Source organism: Homo sapiens, chromosome 17 (genome assembly GCF_000001405.40).
Source record: "Homo sapiens chromosome 17, GRCh38.p14 Primary Assembly".
Classification (NCBI taxonomy): Eukaryota; Metazoa; Chordata; class Mammalia; order Primates; family Hominidae; genus Homo; species Homo sapiens.
Window position 1 is genome coordinate 5,512,849 of NC_000017.11, and position 25,987 is coordinate 5,538,835.

At 49.2% G+C, this 25,987-nt stretch overlaps 1 protein-coding gene, 1 long non-coding RNA gene and 1 pseudogene across 7 annotated transcripts in view, besides 1 other annotated feature; 1 reads left to right on the forward strand and 2 right to left on the reverse strand.

The window, feature by feature from the left end:
• Positions 1-25,987, reverse strand: part of NLRP1 (NLR family pyrin domain containing 1) — an 83,114-nt gene that overhangs the window by 11,453 nt on the left and 45,674 nt on the right. Inside the window, exons 8-17 of one of the 5 annotated variants that reach the window (NM_033004.4) lie at positions 24,003-24,092; positions 21,049-21,140; positions 20,456-20,536; positions 19,974-20,136; positions 17,633-17,856; positions 8,676-8,938; positions 8,033-8,164; positions 4,898-5,039; positions 2,625-2,669; positions 1,270-2,225 (exon numbers count right to left, since the gene is read on the reverse strand). In NM_033004.4, the coding sequence (NP_127497.1) occupies positions 1,906-2,225; positions 2,625-2,669; positions 4,898-5,039; positions 8,033-8,164; positions 8,676-8,938; positions 17,633-17,856; positions 19,974-20,136; positions 20,456-20,536; positions 21,049-21,140; positions 24,003-24,092 (1,552 nt within the window). In that variant the 3' untranslated portion in view covers positions 1,270-1,905. Of the gene's footprint in view, positions 1-1,269; positions 2,226-2,624; positions 2,670-4,897; positions 5,040-8,032; positions 8,165-8,675; positions 8,939-17,632; positions 17,857-19,973; positions 20,137-20,443; positions 20,537-21,048; positions 21,141-24,002; positions 24,093-25,987 lie in introns of those variants that run through there. The other 4 variants (NM_033006.4, NM_014922.5, NM_001033053.3 and 1 more) reach the window with 4 other exon arrangements.
• RNU7-31P (RNA, U7 small nuclear 31 pseudogene) lies at positions 1,362-1,422 on the reverse strand (annotated as a pseudogene).
• Positions 3,330-3,518: a silencer, noted in NCBI's record as "fragment chr17:5419498-5419686 (GRCh37/hg19 assembly coordinates)". NCBI's record gives its function as "represses an EF-1alpha promoter that drives an FKBP-Casp9 reporter gene in an ReSE screen in HepG2 liver carcinoma cells and K562 erythroleukemia cells {active_cell/tissue: HepG2 | K562}" and the evidence as "EXISTENCE:reporter gene assay evidence [ECO:0000049][PMID:32094911]".
• On the forward strand, positions 4,988-25,296 carry LOC124903902 (uncharacterized). 2 transcript variants are annotated; one of them, XR_007065590.1, is made up of 4 exons: positions 4,988-5,237; positions 20,731-20,852; positions 24,709-24,960; positions 25,205-25,296. It is a non-coding gene; the product is annotated as an uncharacterized LOC124903902 (long non-coding RNA). The 2 variants fall into 2 exon arrangements; XR_007065591.1 differs by lacking the exon at positions 4,988-5,237 and adding an exon at positions 17,970-18,072.

Sequence of the window (25,987 nt, forward strand, 5' to 3'; positions counted from 1 at the left end):
GCCATCTTGGCTTTGGTGGGCTTTGGCCAGCTTCTTTACCGCATCTTATCAGTGGAGTCTTTGTGACCTGCATCTTGTGAAGCCAGTCCTGCCCACCTCCTGTGTCACCCCCAGCTTAGAGATCTGCATACAGTAAAATTACTACTAGCTTTCTCCTGAGGCCCTGCAAGCTAAAGCTTATACCTTGTGATACAGGCGTGTCAGATTGCCACCACTTTCCTGCTTTATAACTAAAGATGCTTTTGAGTCTAATACCTGGATAGACTGTGTCCAGCATTAACCTTTTTTTCTTCTGTTCTCATAAAAATCTCTCTTATTAAAAATCTGTTTGGCTTTGTATTTCAGACAACAGAAGACTAGTTTTCCAGCCTATTCACTTAGATTCCAAATGGCATCTGATCTCTTATTTTTTTCTTTCTTATTTTTTTAAAGAGACAAAGTCTATGTTGCCCGGGCTAGTCTCAAAAGCCTGAGCTCAAGTGATCCTCCTGCCTTGGCCTCCCAAAGTGTTAAGATTACATGCATGAGCCACCATGCTTGGCTTTGATCTCTTCTTTAAAACTGGGCTTAAGTATTTTATGAATTATCACTAGGTGCTATTTGATTTTAAAAATATTTGTTATATTCATCAGGTGTTCGGACGGTTCAAGTTTATGTCTTCCAGGCTACAACAGTTTCAGAGAAAAATAATTAGTCCAGTGTTCCAGCCTGTGCCACTGCAGAAAAGATGGAGTCCCTATAAGTCATTCGATCAGGTACGAAGACATTTCTATGCCTCCAGAGCAGGTAGGGATGATGGCCCCTGTTCAGCATGAAGCAGTGACAGAAGATAGATCTCTGTCCTTCTACAACCTCTTAAGATTAAGGACGAGTATGTAATGTCTGAGGTGGGGATAAGATAGGAGGTTGGCAGGACTGGTTTCACAAAGACTCCTCGTATAAAACAGGATGTGGTAAAGAAGCCAAAACCCATCAAACCAAGATGGTGATGAAAGGGACCTCCGGTTGTCCTCGCTGCTCATTATATGCTAATTTTAATACATTAGCATACTAAAAGACATTCCCACCAGCGCCATGACAGTTTACGAACGCCATGGCAGCATCTGGAAGTTTCCCTAAGTAGTCTGAAAGGGGGAAGAACCTTCAGTTCCAGGAATTCCCACCCCTTTCTCTGGAAAACTCATGAATAATCCACTCCTTGTTTAGCACACGATCAAGAAATAACCACAAAAATAGCCAACCAGCAGCCAGTCGGGACTGCTGTGCCTATGGAGTAGGTAACTTCTTATTCCTTTATTTTCATTTTTTCTTTTTTGTATTTTTTTAATTCTTAAATTTAAGTAAAAAATTTTTAATTTATAGGGGTTTTCTGGTAAAAACTGGAAAGCCTGCTAGACAAATTCTAAAAGAGCTGTGATACTCCTTTATTTTCTGAATAAACTTCCTTCCACTTTACTCTGTTGGCTTGCTCTTGTAGATCTTCCTGTACAAAGCCAAGAATCCACGTGGCCTCCCACGCTGAACCCCAATTTTGGGGCTCACCCTGTGACACAGCCAGAGGCAAATGGTTCCATGTCCCTCCTATTCCTCTTTGCGCCTGGATGGGATCCGGAGGGCTCTAGGCTTGGCTGCTGTGGCCACCAGATGAGGCTCTATGAGGTCTGCAGGGGTCTTGCCAGCTCCAGATGGACATTCCCTGAGATGCTGTTAGGCCACCTGGACTGGGGCCCCCTGTGGCATCCCTGGCATGGACACATAATGCCCAGCAAAGGCATCATCAAAGTTCCATTACTTTAGTGCTGGAAGGCAAACCAGATGGCAACTTGTTTGCAGAGAAAGAAACTGAGACCCAAAGAAGGGTCAGCCAAAGCCAGGACTCAAGGGTCAAGGGCTGGTGTTGATACTTCAGCTGCTGAGTGGCAGGAGTCCCTTTTTGCTGCCCTTCTCCCAGAGTTCCATAATGAGGTGAGGATGGGTCTCCTTCAGGGCTTGGTAGAGTCCATCTTTGCACTTCCGGTCCCAGGACTGGCTCAAGCTGAACAGCTTCCGCATCTGGCTGGGCCTCGTGTTCTCAGCCAGCACCCTCTCGTACTGCTCCTGGCTCAGCACCTGTCCATGCAGTTTGTCCAAGACAACCTCCACCGATGTCACTCGGGCTATCAGCTGCTCTCGATACTGGTCCACAAAGTGCAGCAACTGCGGGGCATCCAGAGGTGAAGGTACGGCTGGCAACGAACAAAGAAGGGCTCCAACCACAGCCTCCACCTCCAATCCCCACCTTCAGTGCTTTCCTCTCTCATCTCTGCATCCCTCGCTTCCTTCTGCCTCCAGAAATGCACCTGTGTCCTCCCTCATGGCAGCATCTAGCTTGGCATTCTGCCAGAGTGGGGATCGGGAGTGGGGTTCCTGCTGGGCACATTGGAGGCTGTCAGATAAGGAATTCTAGGGTCTCTGTGGATAGGACAAGGGGGTATGGGGAGCGACCATGCACCGCTCTCCAGGGCCTGACTCTTTGTGAGGTTTGCAGTGATGAGTCCCTTCCTTTCTCTCTTCCCTTCCCCCAGAACCAGACAGTACCCCAGAACTGCCACCGCCTCCTGTGGTCTCTGAGAGCTGTTACTGACCTATGCGGGCTGGAGGGATCAGAGTAGTTGCAGGCATGAGATCTCCTGGAGGAAAACAGAGATGAAGATGCATCTGAAACAGTGCTAAGTTATTAACACACATGGTACACCTCCAAGCTCCCACTCACTTCTGAGATTCTTTGATTTAGAAAAAAGCCACAGACAAATTCTGGTAGAATCTGGAGTAAGAGCTGGAAGGGTCCTTAGAGGTTATTTAGGTGAATCCCTTCCTTATGCATATGGGGAAACTGAGGCTCAGAAGCTGTGATCATACAGTAATAGAAGACATCCAAATGAGCGATAGCAATTTCTCCTATAACATCCCAGACTTGGTTTTAATCCCGTGTTGGCCTGAATTGTATCCCTGGTGAACTAACCAAACCCCTTGCTAGATAGCTTGAACTATTTAGCACCTCCTTGTCTGAGCAGAAATCTACTTCCTTGTTCTTGTTTAGCCTTCTAGACTGGCACCAACCAAAGGTGTACGTTCTGGATTTGGATGTCAGAATCTAGAATCAAGATCAAGCAATCTTAGGACATGGGAATAACAAATTAATTTTAACAGAAAAAACAGACAACGACAAAAATGAAGGGACTTAAAAATTGCTTTGCAAAGGAGAGAAAGGGGAAGTTCACAGCAGCTCGCATGTACAAGGCCTGAGAGTCTGAGCAGGCTCTAAGTTCAGTGTGATCTCACAGTTCAGGGAGGTGGGCACAGGGGAGGGAGTTCAGGTTGTGGTACCAGGAGCACCGGGTCCATGTAGGTGGAGAAAGGAGGGTGTTTACATGCTCTCTGCTGACTGGACAGTCCAGGGGTCAATTCTGACTCATTCCCACACTGGAGCATCTACTGAGGGAGGTGACTGGATGGCAAAGAATTTACAAACCAAAATAGAAGAGGAATGATGGAAGGAGCTGAGATGTCTAACTTGCATAACAAGAGTCATCAGGAATGCTATGACCACAGTCTTTGAGAATCTAAATGGCTTTTTAGATTTAAGGGGAAGGAGATAGACTTTTTCTATGAGTTCCAAGGGACAGAATTAAGACTGATAAGAGGCAGAGATTGGCTTAACATGAGGAAAAAGATAACATTGCTACGATTTGTTAAGGATTACTGCATGAGGCATGTATAGACATCGCTTTGTTTAATCTTTCCAGCATTCCTACAAATTAGTCATTATGATCCTCTTTTTACAGACGAGGGACTCAAATGAATTAAGTAATTTTCCCAAGGTCACTCAGCAAGTAAGTGCCAGAGTGGGATTTGAATCCAGGTCTGAAGCTGGGGCTGGTTAGTTCTCCATCTGTGGTTGCACCCAAGCCAGGATTCAGTAAAGCCCATCCTCTTTCCACTACACTGTGAAGCCAGCTTGTTGCAGCTCAGAGGTAGATTCACCATTTTTTGAGAGCTGACTAGGGATGGTTGTCCTAGAAGGACTGTTTGGGGGTTTGGGTTCTTAGATTGTTGGTACTAGACTAAGAGTCCATAAATTTTCTCTATCCCAGAAAATTTATTATTTGATTTCCTCTTGCCTACCTCAAAAATACTGAGCGATACAGGGGAGAGTATCTGAAATTGCCAAATCGGTTTAACCCATACGACCATATGACTATCTAGGTCTTATTCTTCCACCTCACACCCAAACTATCATGAGAAACTTAGCTAAAAGCTTTGTGTATGTCGACATCTGTTAATTCAAGGGCACTGTGAAGACACCATTGTGCATGGGAGAGAACATAAATTTTAGAGGGTCAGATTGAGTCAAGTTTAAATTCTAGTCATAACAACTGTTATGTAACTTGAGAAAGCCACCTACCTCCTACCTCCTGTGGGCTATTTCTTCTCATCAATAAACTGTGATAGTGCACTCTGCACCCCCCCCCCTCCCACATACACAGACTTTCTTCCATTGACTTTTTCTTTTTTTTTGGATTGCAGTCTTGCTCTTTTGTCCAGGCTGGAGTGCAGTGGTGCGATCTCAGCTCACTGCAACCTCCGCCTCCTGGGTTCAAGCGATTCTTCTGCCTCAGCCTCCTGAGTAGCTGGGACTACAGGCACGCGCTACCACGCCTGGCTAATTTTTGTACTTTTGGTAGAGATGGGGTTTCACCATATTGGCCAGGCTGGTCTTGAACTCCTGACCTTGTGATCTGCCTGCCTCGGCCTCCCAAAGTTCTGGGATTACAGGCGTGAGCCACTGTGCCCAGCTCCTTCATTGATTTTCTTTCTCCTCCCACCTCTGAGTTCTCTGGAATTGTCCTGGATTTACCTGGTTTCACCAAGGCCTCCCACACCAGAGTCTCATCTTTCTTGTCTTTCACTTGCAGCCTGATCCCTGATCCCAAGTGGCCAACGTAGAACTCCGAGAACAGCTGGTCTTCTCCAGGGCTTCGATAGCAGAGCTCCAGTTCCTGAAGAGGCAAAGAGTTGAGTTGCCACCCTGTTCATCTTGCATGGAAGGTCTTTCCCCACCTGACACCTTCTTGGCCCTGCTTGGCTCCATAAGGACACTCTGATGATCCCTGTACTGAAATCAACCATCACCTTCAGACATTGCTCTTTTCCCAATTTTCCACAGAAGGATGAGGACACAACTGAGTACCTCACGGGTAAGTCAGGGCTTGTCCTTAAACGTAGTGCTCATAATCCTAAGCCAGATCCTTCTTCCTTCACCTCCCCCATCTTGAATCCAAACCCTCATTTCTCCAGCCCAAAGCCTGTCTTCCCAATGGACCCTAAACTCCACCCACTGTCGATTGACAAAAATTTATATCCATCCCCTTTCCTAAATCCCAGCTAAGACAGAACTCTTGATTCCCCACTGTCTTCCAAACATGCTCCCTTTCCAGTTTCCCCAAACTCAGTAAAGGATAGGACCATCCACTGAGCATGCAGGCTCCAAACTCGGAATCATGCTTAAGTCCTTCCCTACACAGGCAATCCAGCAGGTCCTGTTGGCTCTGCCTTCAAAATCAACCCTGAATTCATATACTTTTCTCCATCTCCCTCGCTACCTTCCTAGTCAAGTGACCTTCAACTGTAGCTTGCAGTATTGCAACAGCCTTTTGTTTTTTTCTCTTTTTCTTTTTTGTTTCTTTTTTTTTTTTTTTTAAAGAGAGATGGGGTTTTTCCATGTTGCCCAGGCTGGACTTGAACTCCTGGGCTCAAGTGCCTCAGCCTCCTGAGTAGCTGGGACTACAGGCGTGCATCACCATACTCATTTTTTCATTTTTCATAGAGATGAGGTCTCCCTACATGGCCCAGGTTGGTCTTGAGCTACTGGCCTCAAGTGATTCTCCCACTATGGCCTCCCAAAGTGATGGAATTACAGGCGAAAGTCACTGTACCCAACCACAACAGCATTTTTTTTTTTTTTTTTTGAGACAGGGTCTTGCTCTGTTGACCAGGTTGGAGTGCAGTGGCACGATCTCGGCTCACTGCAAACTCCACCTCCCAGGTTCAAGCAATTCTCCTGCCTCAGCCTCCTGAGTATCAGGGTTTACAGGTGCCCATCACCACTCCCGGCTAATTTTTTTTTTTTTTTGAGACGGAGTCTCGCTCTGTCGCCCAGGCTGGAGCACAGTGGCACAATCTTGGCTCACTGCAACCTCCGCCTCCCAGGTTCATGCCATTCTCCTACCTCAGCCTCCCAAGTAGCTGGGACTACAGGCACCCACCACCACGCTCGGCTAAAGTTTTGTATTTTTGGTAGAGATGGGGTTTCACTGTGTTAGCCAGGATGGTCTCGATCTCCTGACCTTGTGATCCGCCCGCCTCAGCCTCCCAAAGTGCTGGGATTACAGGCTTGAGCCACCACACCCGGCCCTCCCGGCTAATTTTTGTATTTCTAGTAGAGACTGGGTTTTGCCATCTTGGCCAGGCTGGTCTGGAACTCCTGATCTTAGGTGATCTGCCTGCCTTGAACTCCCATAGTGCTGCGATTACAGGAGTGAGCCACCACACCTGGCCTTTTTTTTTTTTTTTTTTAGACAGAGTTTTGCTCTTGTAGCCCACACTGGAGTGCAGGGGGGGTGATCTTGGCTCACTGCAACCTCTGCCTCCCGGGTTCAAGCAATTCTCCTGCCTCAGCCTCCCGAGTAGCTGGCATTACAGGTGCCTCTCACCATGCCCCACTAATTTTTTGTATTTTTAGTAGAGACAGGTTTTCACTATGTTGGTCAGGATGGTCTCAAACTCCTGATCTCAGGTGATCCACCCGCCTTGGTCTCCCAAAGTGCTGGGATTATAGGCGTGACCCACTGCGCCTGGCCCATAATGGCCTTTTGACTTGTCTCTCTGCTTTCACTCTTGCCTGCTTATCATTCGTTCTCACCCAGCAGCCAGAGGCATCTTTATGAAAGTAAATCAGGTCTTTTTTTTTTTTTTTTTTTTTTTTTTGAGACAGAGTCTTGCTCTATCACCTAGGCTGGAGTGCAGTGGTGCACTCTCGGCTCACTGCAACCTCTGCCTCCCAGGTTCAAGTGATTCTCCTGCCTCAGCCCCCTGAGTAGCTGGCATTACAGGCATACACCACCACACCCAGCTAATTTTTGTATTTTTAGTAGAGACAGGGTTTCACCATGTTGGCCAGGCTGGTCTCGAACTCCTGACCTCAAGTGATCTGCCCACCTCGGTACCCAAAATGCTGGGATTACAGGCGTGAGCCACCGCGCCTGGCTGTAAATCAGGTCTTGTATTAGCTGTTTATGACCCTCAAAAGCTTGCCATTGCACTTAGAACAAAGTGCAAAGTGCATACCAGGGCCAACAGGGCAGATGAGGCCTGGTAAGACCCTGCCTCTAATCTGACTCATCTTTTGCTATACTGACCTCTTTTTTGTCATCTGGAGGCGTCAAGCTTGCTCCCACCTCTATGCCTCTGCACACATTCCTTCTGCCTGAAATGTTCTTCCACAAATCTCCGTGTGGCCTGAACCAACACCCAATCTAAAGAAAATCTTCGTTTCCTTAGATCTTCCTCAAATGTATGCAACCAAGGCCCAAATCCTATAGCAGATTCTTTCAAACACCCTTTACTGAGACACCCCATGGTTCCCCATAATATGTGTTCTGCCACTGCAATGATTAATAAAGCCAGTATGTTCAACTACAGGTTTGTTCCTGGTGGTCTGGACTGAAGGACATTGATGACCTATAGCCCAAACACTTCCCAGTGCCCCCAAGTCAAACCCCATCATCCTTCACATCCTGCATGTGATCCTCCCTCCTCCGAACTTTCTTTCTCCTAGTCTTGGAAGCATTCCCACTTTCTCTAAATCCCACTCACTTTCTGTTCAACCTCGATTTATCCTGTCCCTGAGAAAGCCCTGAGACCTGCCCCACAGGCATTCATTCCCAGGTAGGACTTCTGTTCGCAGTGAAGAGGCAGACACTGGGCTGCTCACCTTGGGGAGTATTTCCAGCATCCCTGAACCAGACCCAGACACAGTGTAACGACAGCCCATATAAAGTGGGGTCAGCGGGGGTGGCTTGTGGATTCGCACAAACTGGAATTTCATTTCTAGATCATCTATGGCCTACAGAACATAGGGAACAATGATTAAGGGAGGCTTCTGCCCCGTGGAATGTGGTTTGAATAGGGGGGATGGTGCATCTGTGTGTTTGTGTGGACAGAGTGGGGCTATATCACCCCTGCCTCCCTCCCCCCATGCACTGCTACAGAGACAGCCCGCACTTGGTCTTTGATGTCTTCAGGATAGGAATAGGGTTATTGTTAGGGAAGTTAGAATGAGGAAAGGCTACAGTTTTAGGCATGGAGGACTCCAATCCTTTGATTCCTGGACAGGGGCCGTAAGAAACTGTCCAAAGATCAGTGATTGATCAATGAACCTAGCAGGGGGATACCTTGGAGAGGCAGGAGACCAGTCCAAGACTGAGAGGGGACGAATTGTTTGCCCACTTCAAGGTTCTCCTGTACAAGAGGCCCATCCTTGGTCCCAGTTGAAGACCCTCTAGGGGGCTCTCTGGCTGCATTTTGTGTTTACCGTCAACCCACCGTGGCCCAGCCTTTCTGGCTCTTAGTGTCACCTTCCGAATGGAGCAGTCACTTGGGATCAGGTAGAGGTGGAAGGTGACTTCCTCAGGATGGACGCGGTGGTAAAGCAACACCACAGAGGTGACGGGAATGAAGCGCAGGGCATTATGGATCATTTTCAGGAGGACTCCCAAGGGGGAGAAGCTGGGGTTTTCCAGAACTATGTGATGCAGCTCCACCCTGGCTGGCTTCTCCAGGAGCATCCCCTCCTCTTTAAAGTGGGCCATTTGGAACAGGGATGTGTCCACATGGCCCCCTGTAAAAGAATGGATTGAAGAGGCACAGGTTTATTTTTATTTATTTATTTTGTTGAGACAGAGTTTCGCTCTTGTCGCCCAGGCTGGAGTGCAATGGTACAATCTCGGCTCACTGCAACCTCCGCCTCCTGGGTTCAAGCGATTCTCCTGCCTCAGCCTCCCGAGTAGCTGGGATTACAGGCGCCTGCCACCATGCCCAGCTAATTTTTGTATTTTTAGTAGAGATGGGGTTTAACTATGTTGGCCAGGTTGGTCTTGAACTCCTGACCTCAGGTGATCCGCCTGCCTCGGCCTCCCAAAGTGCTGGGATTACAGGCGTGAGCCGCTGCATCCAGCCCAAGAGGCCTAGATTTAGTGTTGTTACTGAGTCAGGATTTGCTGGCACTGTAGGATCCCAGGGCTTAGGCTCAGGTACCCTCTTGGGGGAGCCCAGTGCTATGGTCTTGAATGTCTGTGTCCTCCTACAATTCATATGTTGAAATTCTAACCCCCAAGGTGATGGTATTAAGAGGTGAAGCTTTTATGGGAGGTGATTAGGTCATGGGGGTGGAATTCTCATGAATGGGATTAGTGCCCTTACAAAAGAGACTCAAGGGAGCTTGCTTGTCCCTTCCACCCTGTGAGGACACAGCTAGAAGGCTCCATGTATGAGGAATGGGCCTCACCAACACACCAAATCTGCTGGCGCCTTGATCTTGGACTTACCAGGCTCCAGAACTGTGAGAAACAAATTTCTGTTATTTACAAGCTACCTAGTTTATGGTATTTTGTTATAGCAGCCTGAACAGGCTAAGACACCCAGCATGGGGAAGAGGGCATTTCTAGGCCTGGGGCCTTTGGAGGCTGTGGGAAATTGTGCCACCAGGTGGGAGCACTTAGCAGTGCTGAACTCCTAAGTGGAGCTCAAGGATCACCCTTGAGCCAAACTTATACGCAAACCCAGCCCCTGGCCCTGGAGCTGGGAAAGATATAGAACCTCTAGTTGCCTGTGCTGGTGTGGATTCTCTATGAGAGACCATTGAGTGATGCTGGAAGGTTTGACTAGGCAGGTAGAGAACAAGGAGGAGGAAGGGGCAGTAGGAACATAGAGTGACCAAGGTGTTTGGCCACTCACTATTCAAACTCTTCTTTTTAGGAAGAGCCTCCTCCTCCAGCACTGTGTGGGTCTTGGCAGGAGGCAAGCCAAGCCCCCCACTCAGGATGCTACTACTCCCTGGCAGCAAGGACACAGGTGTGTGACCAAGACTTGACTAAGTGGTTGTCTCTAACTGGGACCTCAAGTCTAGAGGGGTGAAACAGATGCAGAGAGAGAGAATTCTGGCAGTAGCAGTTGGGTGAAGAGTCCAGTGAGAGGCAGGTGTGGTGGTGCACACTCATAATTCCAGCTACTTAGGAGGCTGAGGTGGGCGGATCACTTGAACCCAGAAGTTCAAGGTTGCAATGAGCTATGAGTGTGCTGCTGCATTCTAGCCTGGGTGACAGAGTGAGACCCTGTCTCAAAAACAAAAAACAAAAAACAAAAAACAAAATACCAGAAAGAAAGAAAAAGAGCCCAGTGGCTCCTGGGCAGGAGGGTCCTACAGTAGCTGTCTCCGTATTTTCTGCCGCCTGTCTCCGTATTTTCCTGATGTGACCTTGGCTCTGCCCTTGGTTTCTCTGAGTCATTGGGTCACTATCTTCCCCCCCGCTTAGATTTGTTGCATAACCTTTTGCTAAGTCTATGAGTTAGTCAATAACCTTTCAATGTATCCCTTTTCTGCTTAAATCAGCCAGAATTGGTACCTTTGATTGCAGTCTCTGACCAGCGCCAGGCAAGGACATTGAAGTTACAAGAGAGCTTGAGGGATGAATACTGGTAATGGGAGAGACACTGGCCTAGGGATCAGAGGTCCCAGCTCCATCCCTGCATTGCCTGGTAACTGCTGCAATGCAAGTGGTTTCTGGGCAACAAGGCATCCAGCAAGCTGGACAAAGCCCTTAGTCAGATGTCAATCCCAGAAGGGTCCATGAAGACCATTACTTAAGTTTTGTCATTTAACTGCGTTTTTGGGATGAAAATAAAGTCACAGTGGTATCTATCATCTGAAAAAATGAGGAAGAATTCACCTATGAATCTTACCAATCAAACAATACAACTATTCTTTTTTTATTTTTGACACGGAGTCTAGCTCTGTCACCGAGGCTGGAGTACAGTGGTGTGATCTTGGCTCACCACAGCCTCCGCCTCCTGGGTTGAAGTGATTCTCATGCCTCAGCCTCCCGAGTAGCTGGGACTACAGGCATGCACCACTGCGCCTGGCTTTTTAGTAGAGATGGGGTTTCACCATGTTGGCCAGGCTGGTCTTGAACTCCTGACCTTAGGTGATCCACCTGCCTCGGCCTCCCAGACCGCGCCTGGCCACAGTATAACTATTCTTAGCATGGGACGCCTGCATTACAGTCTTTCTCTGCGGCAACACCTTTTCCTATTTTTATTGTAGTCCATGATACTTTGTCTCTTGTTTCCTGTGACAGTTTAACTTGCTGCAAGGATGTCAGACCATTTAATTACCACAGTATATGATCCCTGCTAGTGGATGCACCACCCTGTGATTCAGCCTGTTTCTCATTTCAGTGTTGAGTTTGCTTCCAACTTTTCACCATGATAAATAGCACCTGCAATGCACATATTCTGCAGAAAGCTTCTATTTCCCTTGTGTTATTGCCTTGAAATCAATCAGTACCAAGGGATGAGGAAAGCGTGTGAGATGGTATGACCTCCTTCACTCCCCAGTTGCTTCTCCAAGAGGCGATGCTGGTTTGCGTTGCCATCACTGGCACTAAATGGATGGTCTCATCCTGACCTCCAAAGCACTGGAATGTCTTCACATGTCAGTTGAGGGAGCTGAAATCCTGGGAGGAAAGTGCTTTTTCCAAGGCCACACAACCAGCCATGGTCCTAGGACCAGATCCCAGGATTCTGACCACAGTCTGGAGCACTAACAGACGCTCGGTGCCACTTGAATTTTTGCTGAATTCCAGAAGGTGCTGGGTGTCTCCAACTTACCTTCTTGCTAGGGTGACCAACTGTCCATGCTTGCCCAGGACCGAGAGGGCTCCTGGGGGTGCAGGACTGTCAGTGTTAAGATGAGCTGGTCACCCCCCTTCTTGCACATACTGCCCTTTCCATAGATTGTGGTAGAGTCACCTCATCCAAACCTGACAGTATATTTGTGCTGATAGATTGGAGAGAGAAGGGAAGCAATGGGGAAGACTGTGGTCTGAAGGAGAAGAAGGTTGAGTGTTGACTGGAGGAAGTCTCACTGGCAGAAAGACCTACGCTGCCTTTGGCTGGTTGCACCAGAAAAATTTAGAAAAAGCTATCATGAGGTAGGCATGTTTCTGTGGGTCTGGGGTCCAGGGCTTTGCATCTGCTTATTACACAAAAGCTTACTGAGTACGGACAATGTGCCAGCCCCTGTGGATGTAGCTGTGAACAGGAAAGACATGGGCACTGCAATTCCAGAGCTTGTGGCCCAATGGGGAATACAGACAGCAAATAGAACAATGGCTCAAAGCATGACAAGTGCTCCGCCAATGGAAGCCTGTCAGCTCCTTCCTCCTTTCCCAGCCGCATGCCCGGTGTTTGCCTTGGGACATTGCTGCTCCTGCTGTCCAGGAGCCTGGGGACTCTCCCTCCTTTAGATGCTGCCCTTGGGCCTGTGGCCTGATGCCTGGCCGTGCCCTTCCTGCTGAGTGTGTGTGGTCAGCACCTTCCAGGCTCAGGTGAGCTGTTGAGGGGCACAGTGGCTCTCCTACTCAAGCAGGGACAGTGGGACCCACATCACATGAAGGTAGGGCACTAGAGGGTTGTCTAGCAGAGCAGCTAAATGATAGGGACTGCCTGGCTTTGACTCCCAGCAAGGGTTCTTACCAACTGTGGGACTCTGAGCAGATTACTTGCCCTCTCTGTGCATCATCTGTAAAGTGGGGCTGATAACAGCATCCCCCTCCCGGTGTCACTGTGCAGATTGACTGGGTTTGTGTCTATAAAGCCCTGGGGATAATAAGGACCACTTGCTCGTATTACAGATAAAATGCAGCTTGACCAATCTATCCACCTGGCTGTGGTGGTTCCTTCTGTTTCTTCCTCAAACAACTCGGCCCAGTCCTCTTGGTAACTCTTGGGGTCTGGGAAGAAAAAGCTACTAAATTTTTTTTTTTTTTGAGACAGAGTCTTGCTCTGTCACCCAGGCTGGAGTGCAGTGCACGATCATGACTCACTGTAGCCTTGACCTTCCAGGCTCAAGTGCTCCTCTCACCTCAGCCTCCTGAGTAGTTGGAACTACAGGTGCGCACCACCATGCCTGGCTAATTCTTCAATATTTTTTTGTGGAGATGGGGTCTCACTATGTTGCCCAGGCTTGTCTCAGACTCCTGGGCTCAAGTCATCCTCCCGTTTCTGCCTCCCAAAGTGTTGGAATTACAGGTGTGAGCCACTGCACCCAGCCACTAAGGTATTTTGAATATCCATTTTGCTTAATCTGAGTTTTGGGACTCTATATTGTTATACGATTCAGTAAGTGTTGGTTCCAGGAAGACAACAGTTTTGAGGCCTGAGGGATACCACTGTGGTTTCCAGCCATCTCATCTGGTTGAACTCCTGAGTAGGTGGGCAGGGGGAGGGAGTGGGAATGGGGCGAGACCCCACTCAGGTGTCTGTGTGAAGTGTTCTTGTTCCCACAGGCAGCACAGAGAGGAGCAAGTGTGACAAAAATGAGGGAACTCACTTCCTCTTGGAGGGAGGGTTGTGTGGAGAGCAGAGGTCTGTGTGTGCTGAAGGAGATGGGTGGGTGGGGGAACGAAGGACCCGAAGGACAAGGCCAGCTTCATGGATGTGTGGCCTGTGCAGTCACACAGGGTCCTGAGCTCAGCAGGGCTTGGTGCTTGGTTTCATGTTTGGTGGTCTTGACATTCTTAATCATTTTTGAATGAAGAGCTCCGCGCTTTCATTTTGTGCTGGGCCCTATGACTGCTGGAGCTGGTCCTGCAGGAGGGTGAGAATGCCCATTGCCACGGTGATGAAGCTGAGAGGCTGAAAGCCTCAAGCTCTAGCTATAGTGGGAGAAAACTCACCATGGAAAGTTAATGACTCATCACCCGTTCAGCGACGACAGTGATGAAGCACCAGTGCCCAAGTCCTAAATCAGACCCTGTGTCAGGCAGTGAGGTCATCGTTTCCAGGGCAATGAACAGCTGCAGCCCAGACAGCAGGCAGCAAGCATTTCTGGAAGGGGCCCTGCCCGGCCCCAGGGATTGGTTTCCTGGCTGGTCACAGCTAGCTAAAAGCAGCCTCTGTGCATTTTGCCTCTTGTTCTGTGGCAGGGGTGTCCAATCTTTTGGCTTCCCTGGGTCACATTGGAAGAAGAAGAATTGTCTTGGGCCACACATGTAAAATATACTAACACTAATGATAGCTGGTGAGCTTTAAAAAATTCGCAAGAAAGTCTCATAATGTTTTAAGAAAGTTTACGAATTCACGTTGGGCTTCATCGAAAGCCATCCTGGGCCGCATGTGGCCCACAGGCCGCAGGTTGTACAAGCTTGTGTACGGAGTCCAAAGGGAGTAAATCCTATCTGGCCACAAGGTGAGGCTCAGAATTTGGTCTAGAGAAGGCTAGTGGGACATGGGCTTGGGCAGGACTGGGGAGGGGTAGGGGTGTAGCTCTTAGCCTGGGATAAACAGGACTTGGGATAGAATCCCAACTCTGGAAGAGGGTCTTCACCTCTCTCGGCTTCAGTTTCCTCACTGGTACACCAAGGGAAAACTGTAGTGCCTAATTTCCCGGTTCATTATGAAAAAAGAGATGATATTAATATATACGGAACTACCTTGCATGGTTCCAGGCACAGGATGCTCAGTTATTGTTCACAGTTCTTATTGGCCAAGTTCCAGTGCCACAAAGGACAGTGCCACAAGCACAGTGAATTCATTCCTATTCTGATTTGGCTGTCAGCCTGGCAGGCTTCAGCTAGATGCCTGTGCACTCGGAGGGTCACCCAATTCCTTGGACAAATCCCGTCTCCCAGGCCCACTTGATGCACGCAGGAGACTGAGCAGGGCATGGCCTGGGAGTCCTCACAATGGGGAGGGCCAGCTCATCCACCTCTGAGAGTGGGGAATGAGGGGGCGCTGGAGCAGGACCTGAAGGCAGACTTTGTCCCCTCGGGCCCTGGTGGTACATTCTGGCTCCAGACCTTAGCTGCATGAGGTTTCTCCTGGAATACCCTGGTTAGAGCAGGGAGTGGTGGTGCAGCCCTGAGCATCCCAGGTTGGGGCAAGCCAAGTTCTTTTGCTGCTGGTCATGGGCAGAGCTACGACAGAGCTGAGCCCACTGACTCTATTAGCCAGGCCCCTCTCTTCTTGATAGAGTACCTGGGGATCCCTGGCCACGGTCTCACTTGTGGAAGAGGCAGGCTGGTTGTGGTAGTGGCTGTGTTCATTACTCTATAGATTGCCCGGTGGGAACAAGTAACTTGTCCCAGCTTCTTGTTTCAGCCATCAGTTTCCTCTCCTCAATCTCTTCCTTTCTAAATGGACCTCTACAATTCCAGAGCTGTCTTGCACCTCTTCCCTCTATTCTGTTTTAGTCTGGGACCTTCCCTAGGGAATGCCCATATGACCCTGACTGTTCAACCAGGTGCCCCAGGGATCCTGAGGCCCCCGGGACTCTATTTCCCTGCCCCATGCTCTCCTCCTGGTGTGCAGCTTGAATTGTTTACTGAACTTTTGTGGCCTCAACAAACAAGACTTTCCTGGTTCTGGGTACTGAGCAGTTCCCTGCTTTTTATTTTTCTCATTTGATTTTTCTCTTTCTACTAGCTTCTAAATAATTTTTCTTATATATATGCCTTGATTACCTTAATATATGCATACTGTAAAGTTAATACCTTTATTTTGAGGTGATACTAAAAATACATTGAACTACTGGGATGATACTACAACATATCAACTAACAAATGAGAAATTAAAAATAAATTCTCATTTACCTCTATTCCTGGGAAATAAAGAAATTAAGACAAGAAAAAATATTAAAAACCCATTTAATATCTAGCTAAACTGTACAAATCATAAAAGTGCTTATAACTGATGTAAGCTATAACATAAATTGTTTATCAAATCATTTTATCAGCAATTAAATGAAGCTTCTATTGGAGTCATGATTTGACATGGGGACACATCAGATTCTTCTAACTTGCTCACTAAATTGACAGACATTGGCTGGGCACAGTGGCTCACACCTATAACCCTTTCTTTCTGGCTGATGTCAAGGCTTTCCCTCATACTTTCTTATTCTGTAGTTTCACATTAATGAGACTAATCTTGATTTTTTCTCTCCCTTCTCTCTCTCTTTCCTGCATTGCAGTTTTGGGGATTCTCATTCTGAGAAGTCTCATATGTCTCAATACTTCCAGAAATTTGTTTGCAATTGTCTTGTTGAATATTCTATTTTTTTCCCTTCTATCTTATCTTTCTGGAATTCCATTTAGATATATATTAGGACTTATCATGGTATCCTACAAGTTACTTGATTGTTTATTCTTTTTTTTTTTTTTTTGAGACAGAGTCTCGCTCTGTGGCCCAGGCTGGAGTGCAGTGGTGCGATCTTGGCTCACTGCAAGCTCCACCTCCTGGGTTCACGCCATTCTCCTGCCTCAGCCTTCCGAGTAGCTGGGACTACAGGCGCCTGCCGCCACGCCCGGCTAATTTTTGTATTTTTAGTAGAGACGGGGTTTCACTGTGTTAGCCAGGATGGTCGCAATCTCCTGACCTCGTGATCCGCCCTCCTCGGCCTCCCAAAGTCCTGGGATCACAGGCGTGAGCCACTGCGCCCGGCCTTGTTTTTTCATTTTTTTTAGTCAATTTAGTTTCCAACTTTGATTTGTCATTTTTAATGGTTCATTGCTTTTTGCTGATAGTTTTAAGGTTACTTTTTTTTTTTTGGTCATATTATACACACTTATTTTATGTTCTTTTTCTGATAATTTCAGCATCTGAAGGATTTAAGGGACTGATTCTGGTATCTGTCGTTTCTGCTGGCTCTTACTTCTGGTGCCTTGTTTCCCCTTTGTGAGATTTTTGACTGTTAGCTGATATTTCTTGGAACTCTGTGGGAAGTCTTTGGAGGTGACATAAAATCATACTTTGTGATTACTATCTTCTATGGGAAGCCCCTGTTTCATGGCTCCAGCTCTCAGATGGCGTCTGATGACACTGTTTCTTCTCCCTGCCTGTAGGAGTAGTGATGGCTTCCTATTGTTGCTAGTCCCTGTTGCCCCAACATTCTTCGTTAGTTCACTTAGCCTTACTTTGTAAATGGTCCTGTCTTTGAAAAGCTTCTTCAAAAATCTCAACTGAGCATATCATCTCTTTCCTGCTGGGACCTTGAGTGATACAGTCTATATAAATGACACTTAATAAAAACTTTCAAGTAAGTTTAGGCAGATATAATTATGAGGCTGGGAGATGTGTTTCAAAAAGATAAGTCCAGAGAAGAGTGGAATGCAGGAAAATCTTAGTCCCCATCTCCATAACCCCCCCTCGGCCCCTCTAAGGAAGCCACAACACCCTCTCCCAGGAGATTATCATTCTACACTCCCTTTCAGGCCCATAATTACCACCACCTTCCTCCCTATCCTTCCCTGTTGTTTACCTTGGAGAGCCACAAAGTGAGGGAGGTGCACAGCTTCCACAGCTCCAGGCTCAGCCTTGATGTCCAGCAGAGGCCCTGCCACCATCCAGCTGTGCTGTGGGTTGATCTCACCCAGGAACTGGTCCCACACACAGAATTCAATCTCAACGGTCACCGCTTCTCTCATCACAAAGCAGAGACCCGTGTTGGGCCAGCGGTAGGAGCCAGCTACAGGGAAGTGAACTCTGGGAAGAAGAGGGAGAGGCAGACACTTACTGCACGAACTCACTGAGCACCTGCTGGATGCCAGACCCCATGCAGGGGCTTGCGGATACGGTACAGTGGCTTCAAGCCCAGACTTCGGAATCAGATGGACTTGCATTTTAGTCCTGGCTCTTCTGCTCTTGACTGTGGATCCCTGAGCAAGTCATTTAACCTTCCTGTTTTTGGTTTCCTCATCTGTAAGTAGGAGTAATTATAGCTCCCATCTCCTAGTTACGAGAATAAGTGACTTAATGCATGCTCACAGCTTAGTACACGCCTGGGAGCTGTGAACTGTTTCTACTATGTTGATGATGGCAATGATGGTAATGATGAAATAACAAGTGTTCGTATATGTAAGGGGCCTATTTAGCAATAATTAATAACAATATATGTGCTAAGATTATCTGTCTTGTCTTGTCTGTCTATCTATCTATCTATCTAATCTATCTAATCTATCTATCTATCTATCTATCTATCTATCTATCTATCTATCTATCTATCTAATCTATGGAAATATGGTCTCACTCTGTTGCCCAGGCTGGAGCGCAGTGGCCCGATCTTGGTTCACTGCAGCCTCGAAATCCCTGGCTTAGGCAATTCTTCCACCTCAGCTCCCTGAGTAGCTAGGACTACAGGTACATGTCACCACGTCCAGCTAATTTTTTTGGTAATTTTTGTAGACACAAGGTTTTGCCATGTTGTCCAGGCTGGCCTTGAACTCCTGGACTCAAGTGATCCTCCTGCCTCGGTCTCTTAAAGTGCTGGGATTATAGGCATGAGCCACTATGCCTGGCCGTATGTGCTAATATTAATGCTAAACCCTTAGAATTGGAAACAACACTTTTATAGAGATCAGAAGTGATTTTCCCAAGGCTCCTCAGGTGGGTTAATAGTGGGTCCCGGGATGCCCCAGCTTCTGTAGGTGTGAGCTGGGAGTGACGCTGTCTCCTGGTTGAGATGATGTCTGTGGCAGTGTTTGGTGAGTGGTAACATGTTATATAAGAGATCATGAGTATGACTATAGAGAATTACTACTAGTGCGACTGTAAGCCCTGGGAGGGCAGGGCTGCCATATTCATCTTAGGGTCCCCAGCTACTAGTACAGTCCTTAGCTCATTAGTGGCTGTTAATAAAACAGGAGCATACAGATTAAGAGAGTTAAGTGAGATTTAAGAAATATAACAAAGAAAATAAAATGAGTGGACCTTGTTTGGATCCTGATAAGAACACACCAACTGGCCAGGCGCGGTGGCTCACGCCTGTAATCCCAGCACTTTGGGAGGCTGAGGAAGGTGGATCGTCTGAGGTCAGGAGTTCGAGACCAGCCTGTCCAATATGGTGAAACCCCCATCTCTACTAAAAATACAATTTTCATTTTTCACACGTGGTGGCATGTGACTGTAGTCCCAGCTACTAGAGAGGCTGAGGCTGGAGAATCGCTTGAACCTGGGAGGTGGAGGTTGAGGTAAGCCAAGATTGTGCCATTGCACTCCAGCCTGAGTGACAGAGCAAGACTCTGTCTCAAAACCAAATCAAACCAAACCCAACCAAACCACAACACCAACTATAAGAACATGTTTTAGACAATTGAGCAATTTGAATATGGATTGGGGAGTAGATGAAATGAAAGACTTACTGCCAGCTTTGTCAGATGTGATATTGGCATTGTAGTTATGTTATGGAAGAAAAGGTTTTTATTTTTGTTTTTTGAGATGCGTAATGAAATATTTAAGGGTAAAATCACCCGATGTCTTGGATTTAAAATACTGTAACAATAACAAAGAGGGGGAAAGTGAACAGCTGAAACGAATTTGGCAAAACAGTGGCTGAAGCTGGGTGATGGGTACATGGAAGCTCCTTGTACTATTTTTGTATATGTTTGAAAATTTTAAGTTTCATAAGAAAACATCTTTTTCCATATGAAAAGCAGACACCCAGTGTCTCAGCCCTGTCTCTGCCTGTTGTCTTGGCAAGAGGAGGGGACCCAGTGGTGAGTGTGAGTTGGGGGTAGGGGGTGGCGCTGACTGTCTGTGGGGACCCAGGATGGGCAGTGGGGTGCGGGAGGCCAGCCTGGGACCAGCAGAGCCCCCTCACTCACCGGTACAAGTTCTTTTCTTTGTCAACTACCTCAGTAGCCACAGGCCCCGTGGGGCCCCAGAAGTCATCGTCAGTCCCCAAAGGCTTCGTATGCAGGTCCCCTTGAGAGGCAGGAGAAGGCACGCACAAGAGTTCCACCGGTACTACCTCTGGGGAGCTTTCCTCTGAAACAGCAAGGCAGCGGTCAGCTCCAGATTCTCCCGCCTGGCCTCCCCTAGCCCCTATGGCTGCACTGTAAGGGGCCCTTCCCAAGGCTGGCCTGCCTGGACCATGGCAGGGAGTGTGTCTGCAGCTTCTGCTCCTGCTCCATGGCTGCCTGCCTGCTGTCTGGGGAGCCCCACTCCAGTGCCTCCAGCCCAGCCTCCGCCCATCTCCCCTTCCCCACTGGAATAGAAGTGCCACTCTCCCCAGCATGCCCAGGTGGGCAGGTTGAGAGAGAACATGGTTCAAAAGATGAAAGGGGCCAGGCACCGTGGCTCTTGCCTGCAATCTCAGCAATTGGGAAGATCTTGCTCACGTCCAGGAGTTTGAGATTAGCCTGAGCAACATGGGAAGCCGCCCTCTCTACAGAAAAAAGAAAAATATCAGCCAGGCATGGTGGTGAGCATCTGCAGTCCCAGTTCTACTCAGGAGGCGGAGGTGGGAGGATTGTTTGAGCTCAGAAGGTTTAGGCTGCAGTGAGCCATGAACATGCCACTGCACTCCAGCCTGAACACTAGAGTGAGACTCTGTTTTTTTTTTTTTTTTTTTTTTTTTAGATGGCAGGGCAAAGATGGAGATGTGATTCCCAGGCCTTAGCAGCCAAGAATGGAAGAGGCCGGACCCCGGTTCAGGGTTTGATACATGCCATAGACGTTCTGGAGAGGGGAAGCACCAGCCGGTGGGTCTCGGAGAGAGGGTAACGGAAATCCAGCCAGTTCCTAGGAGTGGGAGCTCTCTCGTGGGGGTAGCACCCTCTTGGGTAGGAAACCTGCCCCGTCCCACATCAGGGGCAGAGGGATGGAGGGAATGACCTCCCACAGCTGACCTCCCCCAACCCCTGTCACGATGCTCCCAGCCTTGCCCCTTCAAACTACCTGATCCGAGTCTCTGCCGCTTGAGTGAGGATGTGCTATTACTCATCTCTCCCGTATCCAGGCCCTCAGTAGGGGTCATCACACTTGGTTTCCTGGACAAAGAATTGTTCATTCTGCCTAAGATCTTGGAGGAAGCGAGGGCTGTCCACATGACATTCCCACTAAAAATTCAACTCCTCCTCGGGTCGGGTGCAGTGGCTCATGTCTGTAATCCTCGCACTTTGGGAGGCCGGGATGGGTGGATAGCTTAAGCTCAGGAGTTCGAGACCAGCTTGGGTAACATAGTGAGACCTCCCCACCTCATCTCTGCCAAAAATACAAAAATTAGCTGGGCATGGTGGCATGCACCTGTATCCCAGCTACTTGGAAGGCTGAAGTGGGAGGATCACTTGAGCCCAGGAGGCAGAGGTTGCAGTGAGCTGAGATTGTGCCACTGCACTCCAGTCTGGGTGACAGAGCCAGACCCTGTCTCAAACAAAACAAAACAAACAAAAAAACTCCATCCGAATTTGAACTCAATCCTGTGGTTCTTCTGTGGTCCCTGTCTCTGTGAGCAGCCTCCATCCACCCATGCATCCAGGCTAGAGCTGGGGTGTCATCCCAACTCCTTCCTCGCCCACCCTAAGAGCTGATCACCTTGACAACACCTCTCAAATAGCTCTTCTTTCTATTGTCTTCTCTCCACCTCCATGACCTCCACCTGAGTCCCAGGCCCTGGCCTCTGTGGCCCGCACCACTGCAGCATCCTCTGAAAGGTCTCCCTGCTTCTGCTCGGGTCCCTCTGCCGCCCATTTTCTACACAGCAGCCAATCTTGAAATAGGAACCTGACCCATCACTTGGCTGCTGCAACCCTGTAATGTCGCTTCATTGCTTCTGGGGGAAAATGGAAAGTTTTTAACATAGTCCAAAAGGGCTTGCCAGGGCCTCTGTCACCCTCCAATGTCACCTGGGCCACTTTTTCCTGGCTCACTGACCTCTAGTCCATCGGTTCTCAAACTGTGCGCTTAACAATCATCTGGAAGGCTTGTTAAGACACAGATTCAGCCGGGCGCGGTGGCTCACGCCTGGAATCCCAGCACTCTGGGAGGCTGAGGCGGGCAGATCACAAGGTCAGGAGTTCGAGACCAGCCTGGCCAACATGGTAAAACCCCGTCTCTACTAAAAATACAAAAATTAGCTGGGTGTGGTGGCATGCACCTGTAGTCCCAGCTACTCTGGAGGCTGAGGCATAAGAATGGTTTGAACCTGGGAGGCAGAGGTTACAGTGAGCCGAGATCATGCCATTGCACTCCAGCCTGGGTGACAGAGCGAGACTCTGTCTCAAAAAAAAAAAAGACACAGATTCCTGGGCCCCACCCCAGAGATTCTGATTCAGTGGGTCTGGAGTGGGGCCTGAGAATTTGCAGTTCTATCGAGCTCCCAGTGAGGGTGATGCTCATGCTGCTGGTCCACGGACCACAGTTTGAGTAGCTGCTCCTGACGCCTGGCCTCCCATTCCTCCAGGAGGCTAAACTCTTTTCTCTCTCAGAGCCTCTACTTCTGCCTGGACTCCACCCCTTCTTGGGCCCAGCCAACCTGTCCTGTCTTTCAGACCTCAGCCCAGATCCTCTTGACCAGGTCAAATAGGCCCATAGGTGCACTCACACTGACCCCAGGTGCATTTGCGCAGACACTTCTGGGATAACCTGTGCCTGTCTCCCTGCTGGACTAAGCTCCTGGAGGTTGGGTTGTGTCTTTCTTGTTCACTGCTGTGTCCTTAGATCCCCAAACAGTGCCCGACACATAGTGGGTCTGCAGGGAATGTTTGTTCAATGAATAAATGGCTCCTCTTAAGCCTAGGAGCTGTTTTCCTTCCATTTCAGGTGAGCCACAGCAGCCAGGAACCTGGGGACAGATGAGCTTCATGGTCAGGTGGAAATGCACCCAACTGGGAGAATGTGGGAGCTGCAGCAGATTCCTCGGGGAAGGGAAGATGGACTTTCCTGGCCCCGGGGCTTGCCCCTCAAGTCAGGGGTGTGTGTGGTGGTGGTGGTGAGGGTGGTGGGTGACGGTGATGGCGAGGATGGTCTTTTTCCCAGGGCACAGGCGCTCTCTCTCTCTGTCTTTATCTCCCTCTTGTGATCATCGCTTTCATTGTTCCAAACCTTCTCTGTTCTTCATGGAAGGATTCCTGGACTAGAGGCCATTTGGTATCATGCTGTGCTGGGTCCAGGGGATTCGCTGGCTCACCCACCCACTGACTTTTTCTTGTTCTTTTTTTTTTCTTTTTGAGATGTTGTCTTGCTCTGTCACCCAGGCTGGAGTGCAATGGCGTGATCCTGGTTCACTGCAACCTCTGTCTCCTGGGTTCATGTGATTCTCCTGCCTCAGACTCCCAAGTAGCTGAGACTACAGGCGTGCGTCACCACACCCAGCTAATTTTTGTATTTTTAGTAGAGACAGGGTTTCACCATGTTGGTCAGGCTGGTCTTGAACTCCTGACCTCATGATCCACCTGCCTCAGCCTCCCAAAGTGCTGGGATTACAGGCGTGAGCCACCATGCCCGGCTTTTTTTTTTTTTTTTTTTTTTTGAGATGCAGTCTTGCTCTGCCACCCAGACTGGAGTGCAGTAGCGCGATCTTGGCTCGCTGCAGCCTCCACCTCCTGGGTTCAAGTTATTCTCATGCCTCAGCCTCTTGAGTAGCTGGGACCACAGGCACCCGCCACCACGCCTGGCTAATTTTTTAGCCCACTTACTTTTTCATGTTTTCCTTTCCTTGTTTGTCTAACGTTAAGAGTTGAAGCAAGGGGGGATTTGATTCTACTTGCACTGACAAGTGCACCTCACTCTGGCTGCTGTGGTGTCTGGGTTTCTCCCTGGCTGTGTTTGTCTCTCACCCCATGGCTCTTTCCCTGTCTCCTGCTCAGCCCTGGGCCTGGGTCAGCCAGAGGGAGTTCTGGGTCCCCCCTTACCGTCTGCTGAAGATGAGCAGCTGAGGTTTCTCCTGCTCCAGGGCCCTCAGTTCCTGCCTCATCTCATCACTCAGAGTTGTCTGGTCCAGCCTGAAAGCACAAAGGGAGCCGGGTCCTCCTGGGATCCCCCATGTGGTCCCCAGGTCCCCAGGGCCCAGAATCCTGGGACCTGTCACCTTCTGAGGCAGCGGCCGCAGGGTGGGTTCCCTGGAAGCCAGGCTCTGAGGAGGAGGGTACAGTGAGGAGATTCATTAGGGTGTGTTCTTGGGTCAATGCCAGGGCAAGGGAAGGGAGGGAATCGGGGAGACGTGGGCTGTGAGGCAGTCTCCAATGGAGGCCTCAGCCAACTCTGGGAGATGATCCTTTAGAGCTGTTTAAAGGAGTTGGGTTGAGGGGCTGGGCCTTTCTACCCCAACATTGGCCAGTCATCGGATGTGGGCCTCCCCAGGAAGGAGATGTGGCCTTGGGTGAGGTGGCTCTCACTGGCAGAGGCTGTCTCTACAGCCGGCTGCCAGGGATTTCCCCATGGCCTCAAAATGACCACCTCAGGCCTGGGTCCTGGGATTTTCTTCCCAGTGGTCGGAAGTTTTGCTGGGAAGAGAGAGTCCTGGTTCCATCCTCCCAGGCCTTGTGGTCTGGGGTTTCTGCCAGATGTGAGATGCTGATTGTCTTCTCTGGGTCTCTGTGTCCTCCATCTACCACGTAGGATGAATCAATCCTGCCCTGCCTGTTCTGAGGCCCAGACAAGGAGGCGGTGAAAAGACCCTGTCTTCTGCGAAGGGCTCTGCATTCATTCCCCTACTGCTGTTAGAGCTGTTCTGCCCCTGGGGAGGAGCGCAGACCTTGAAGTAGAAGGTTATTCTTCTCAACTAAGTCCCGGCTCCAGGAGGGAAGGAGGTGGAAACCTACTCGGGACTCTAGAGAGCAAACCCCCTCAGAAGCAGCCCAGGTTTGACAGGTAAGTGTTGAGCTGGGGCCTGAAGCCATATCTGCCTGCCATGGCCAAGCTCTGGGGAAAGGCTCTTCAGCATAAGGGAGGTAGTGATAGCCAAAAATACTCAGTGGGGAGCAGCAGGCTGGGGTGCAAAGGTGCTGCCCCCTTGGGATGGAGTTCCCATGGTTGTAGATAGCCAGTGTCAGCTACAGGAGAACCCAAATGTAGACTATTTATTTCTGTTATTCTGCCTTGACCACTTCTTTAGGTTTGGGAGGCCTGGCTGAGGAAAGCCCGAGGCCCAGGCTTCCCGGACCCCCTCTGAGAAGGCTCTGGATGTGGGGGTTTGGAGCCCCTGTCTGCTCCCTGAGATGTGGCAGGGCCCCTGGCAGGAGCCGTGGGTAAGTGTCAAGACAGAAGCCACTCATGGGCTTGCTCCCAGGGAGGTGGAGGGGAGCAGAAGTGGCCCAGAGATAGTGTGGGGGTGGCTCCTCGGGGAAGGGCAAGAATCTCTGGGGCCTACGGGATGGGAAATGAGGGCTGGGGGCTCACTCCACTCAGGGTCCTTCAGTTCTCCGGGGCTCAAGTGCCTCTTTGTTCTGGGCCTTTCCCCACACCATCCCTAGGCCTAGAATACTCTCCCCAACTTGGCCTGGGTACCTATTCCTCCTTCAGACCTCAGCCTGACGTCACTGTCTCAGGGAAGTCCTCCCTGGCCCTTTGATCAAATCCCATCCTCCCTCAATATTACATTCTCATAATACCCTGTACTTTCCTTTCACTCCACAGAGCTCATAAATATAGACTTGTGCATTTACAGGTGACCAGTGTCCGTCTCTTCCCCACTAGAGTAGAAGCTTCAGTAGGGCAGGGCCCATGTCTGTTTGGTCACTATTGTACCCCAAGGCCTGGTCTGGTGCTTACACACGGGAGGCACTCAGTGAATGAATGAATGAGTAAATGAATGAATGAAGCGCTGCCCTGGAGTGAGGGGAACCTGAGCGTCCCCTAGAGCATGCAGCCTCAGTAATAGTTATCATTTGATCATGCC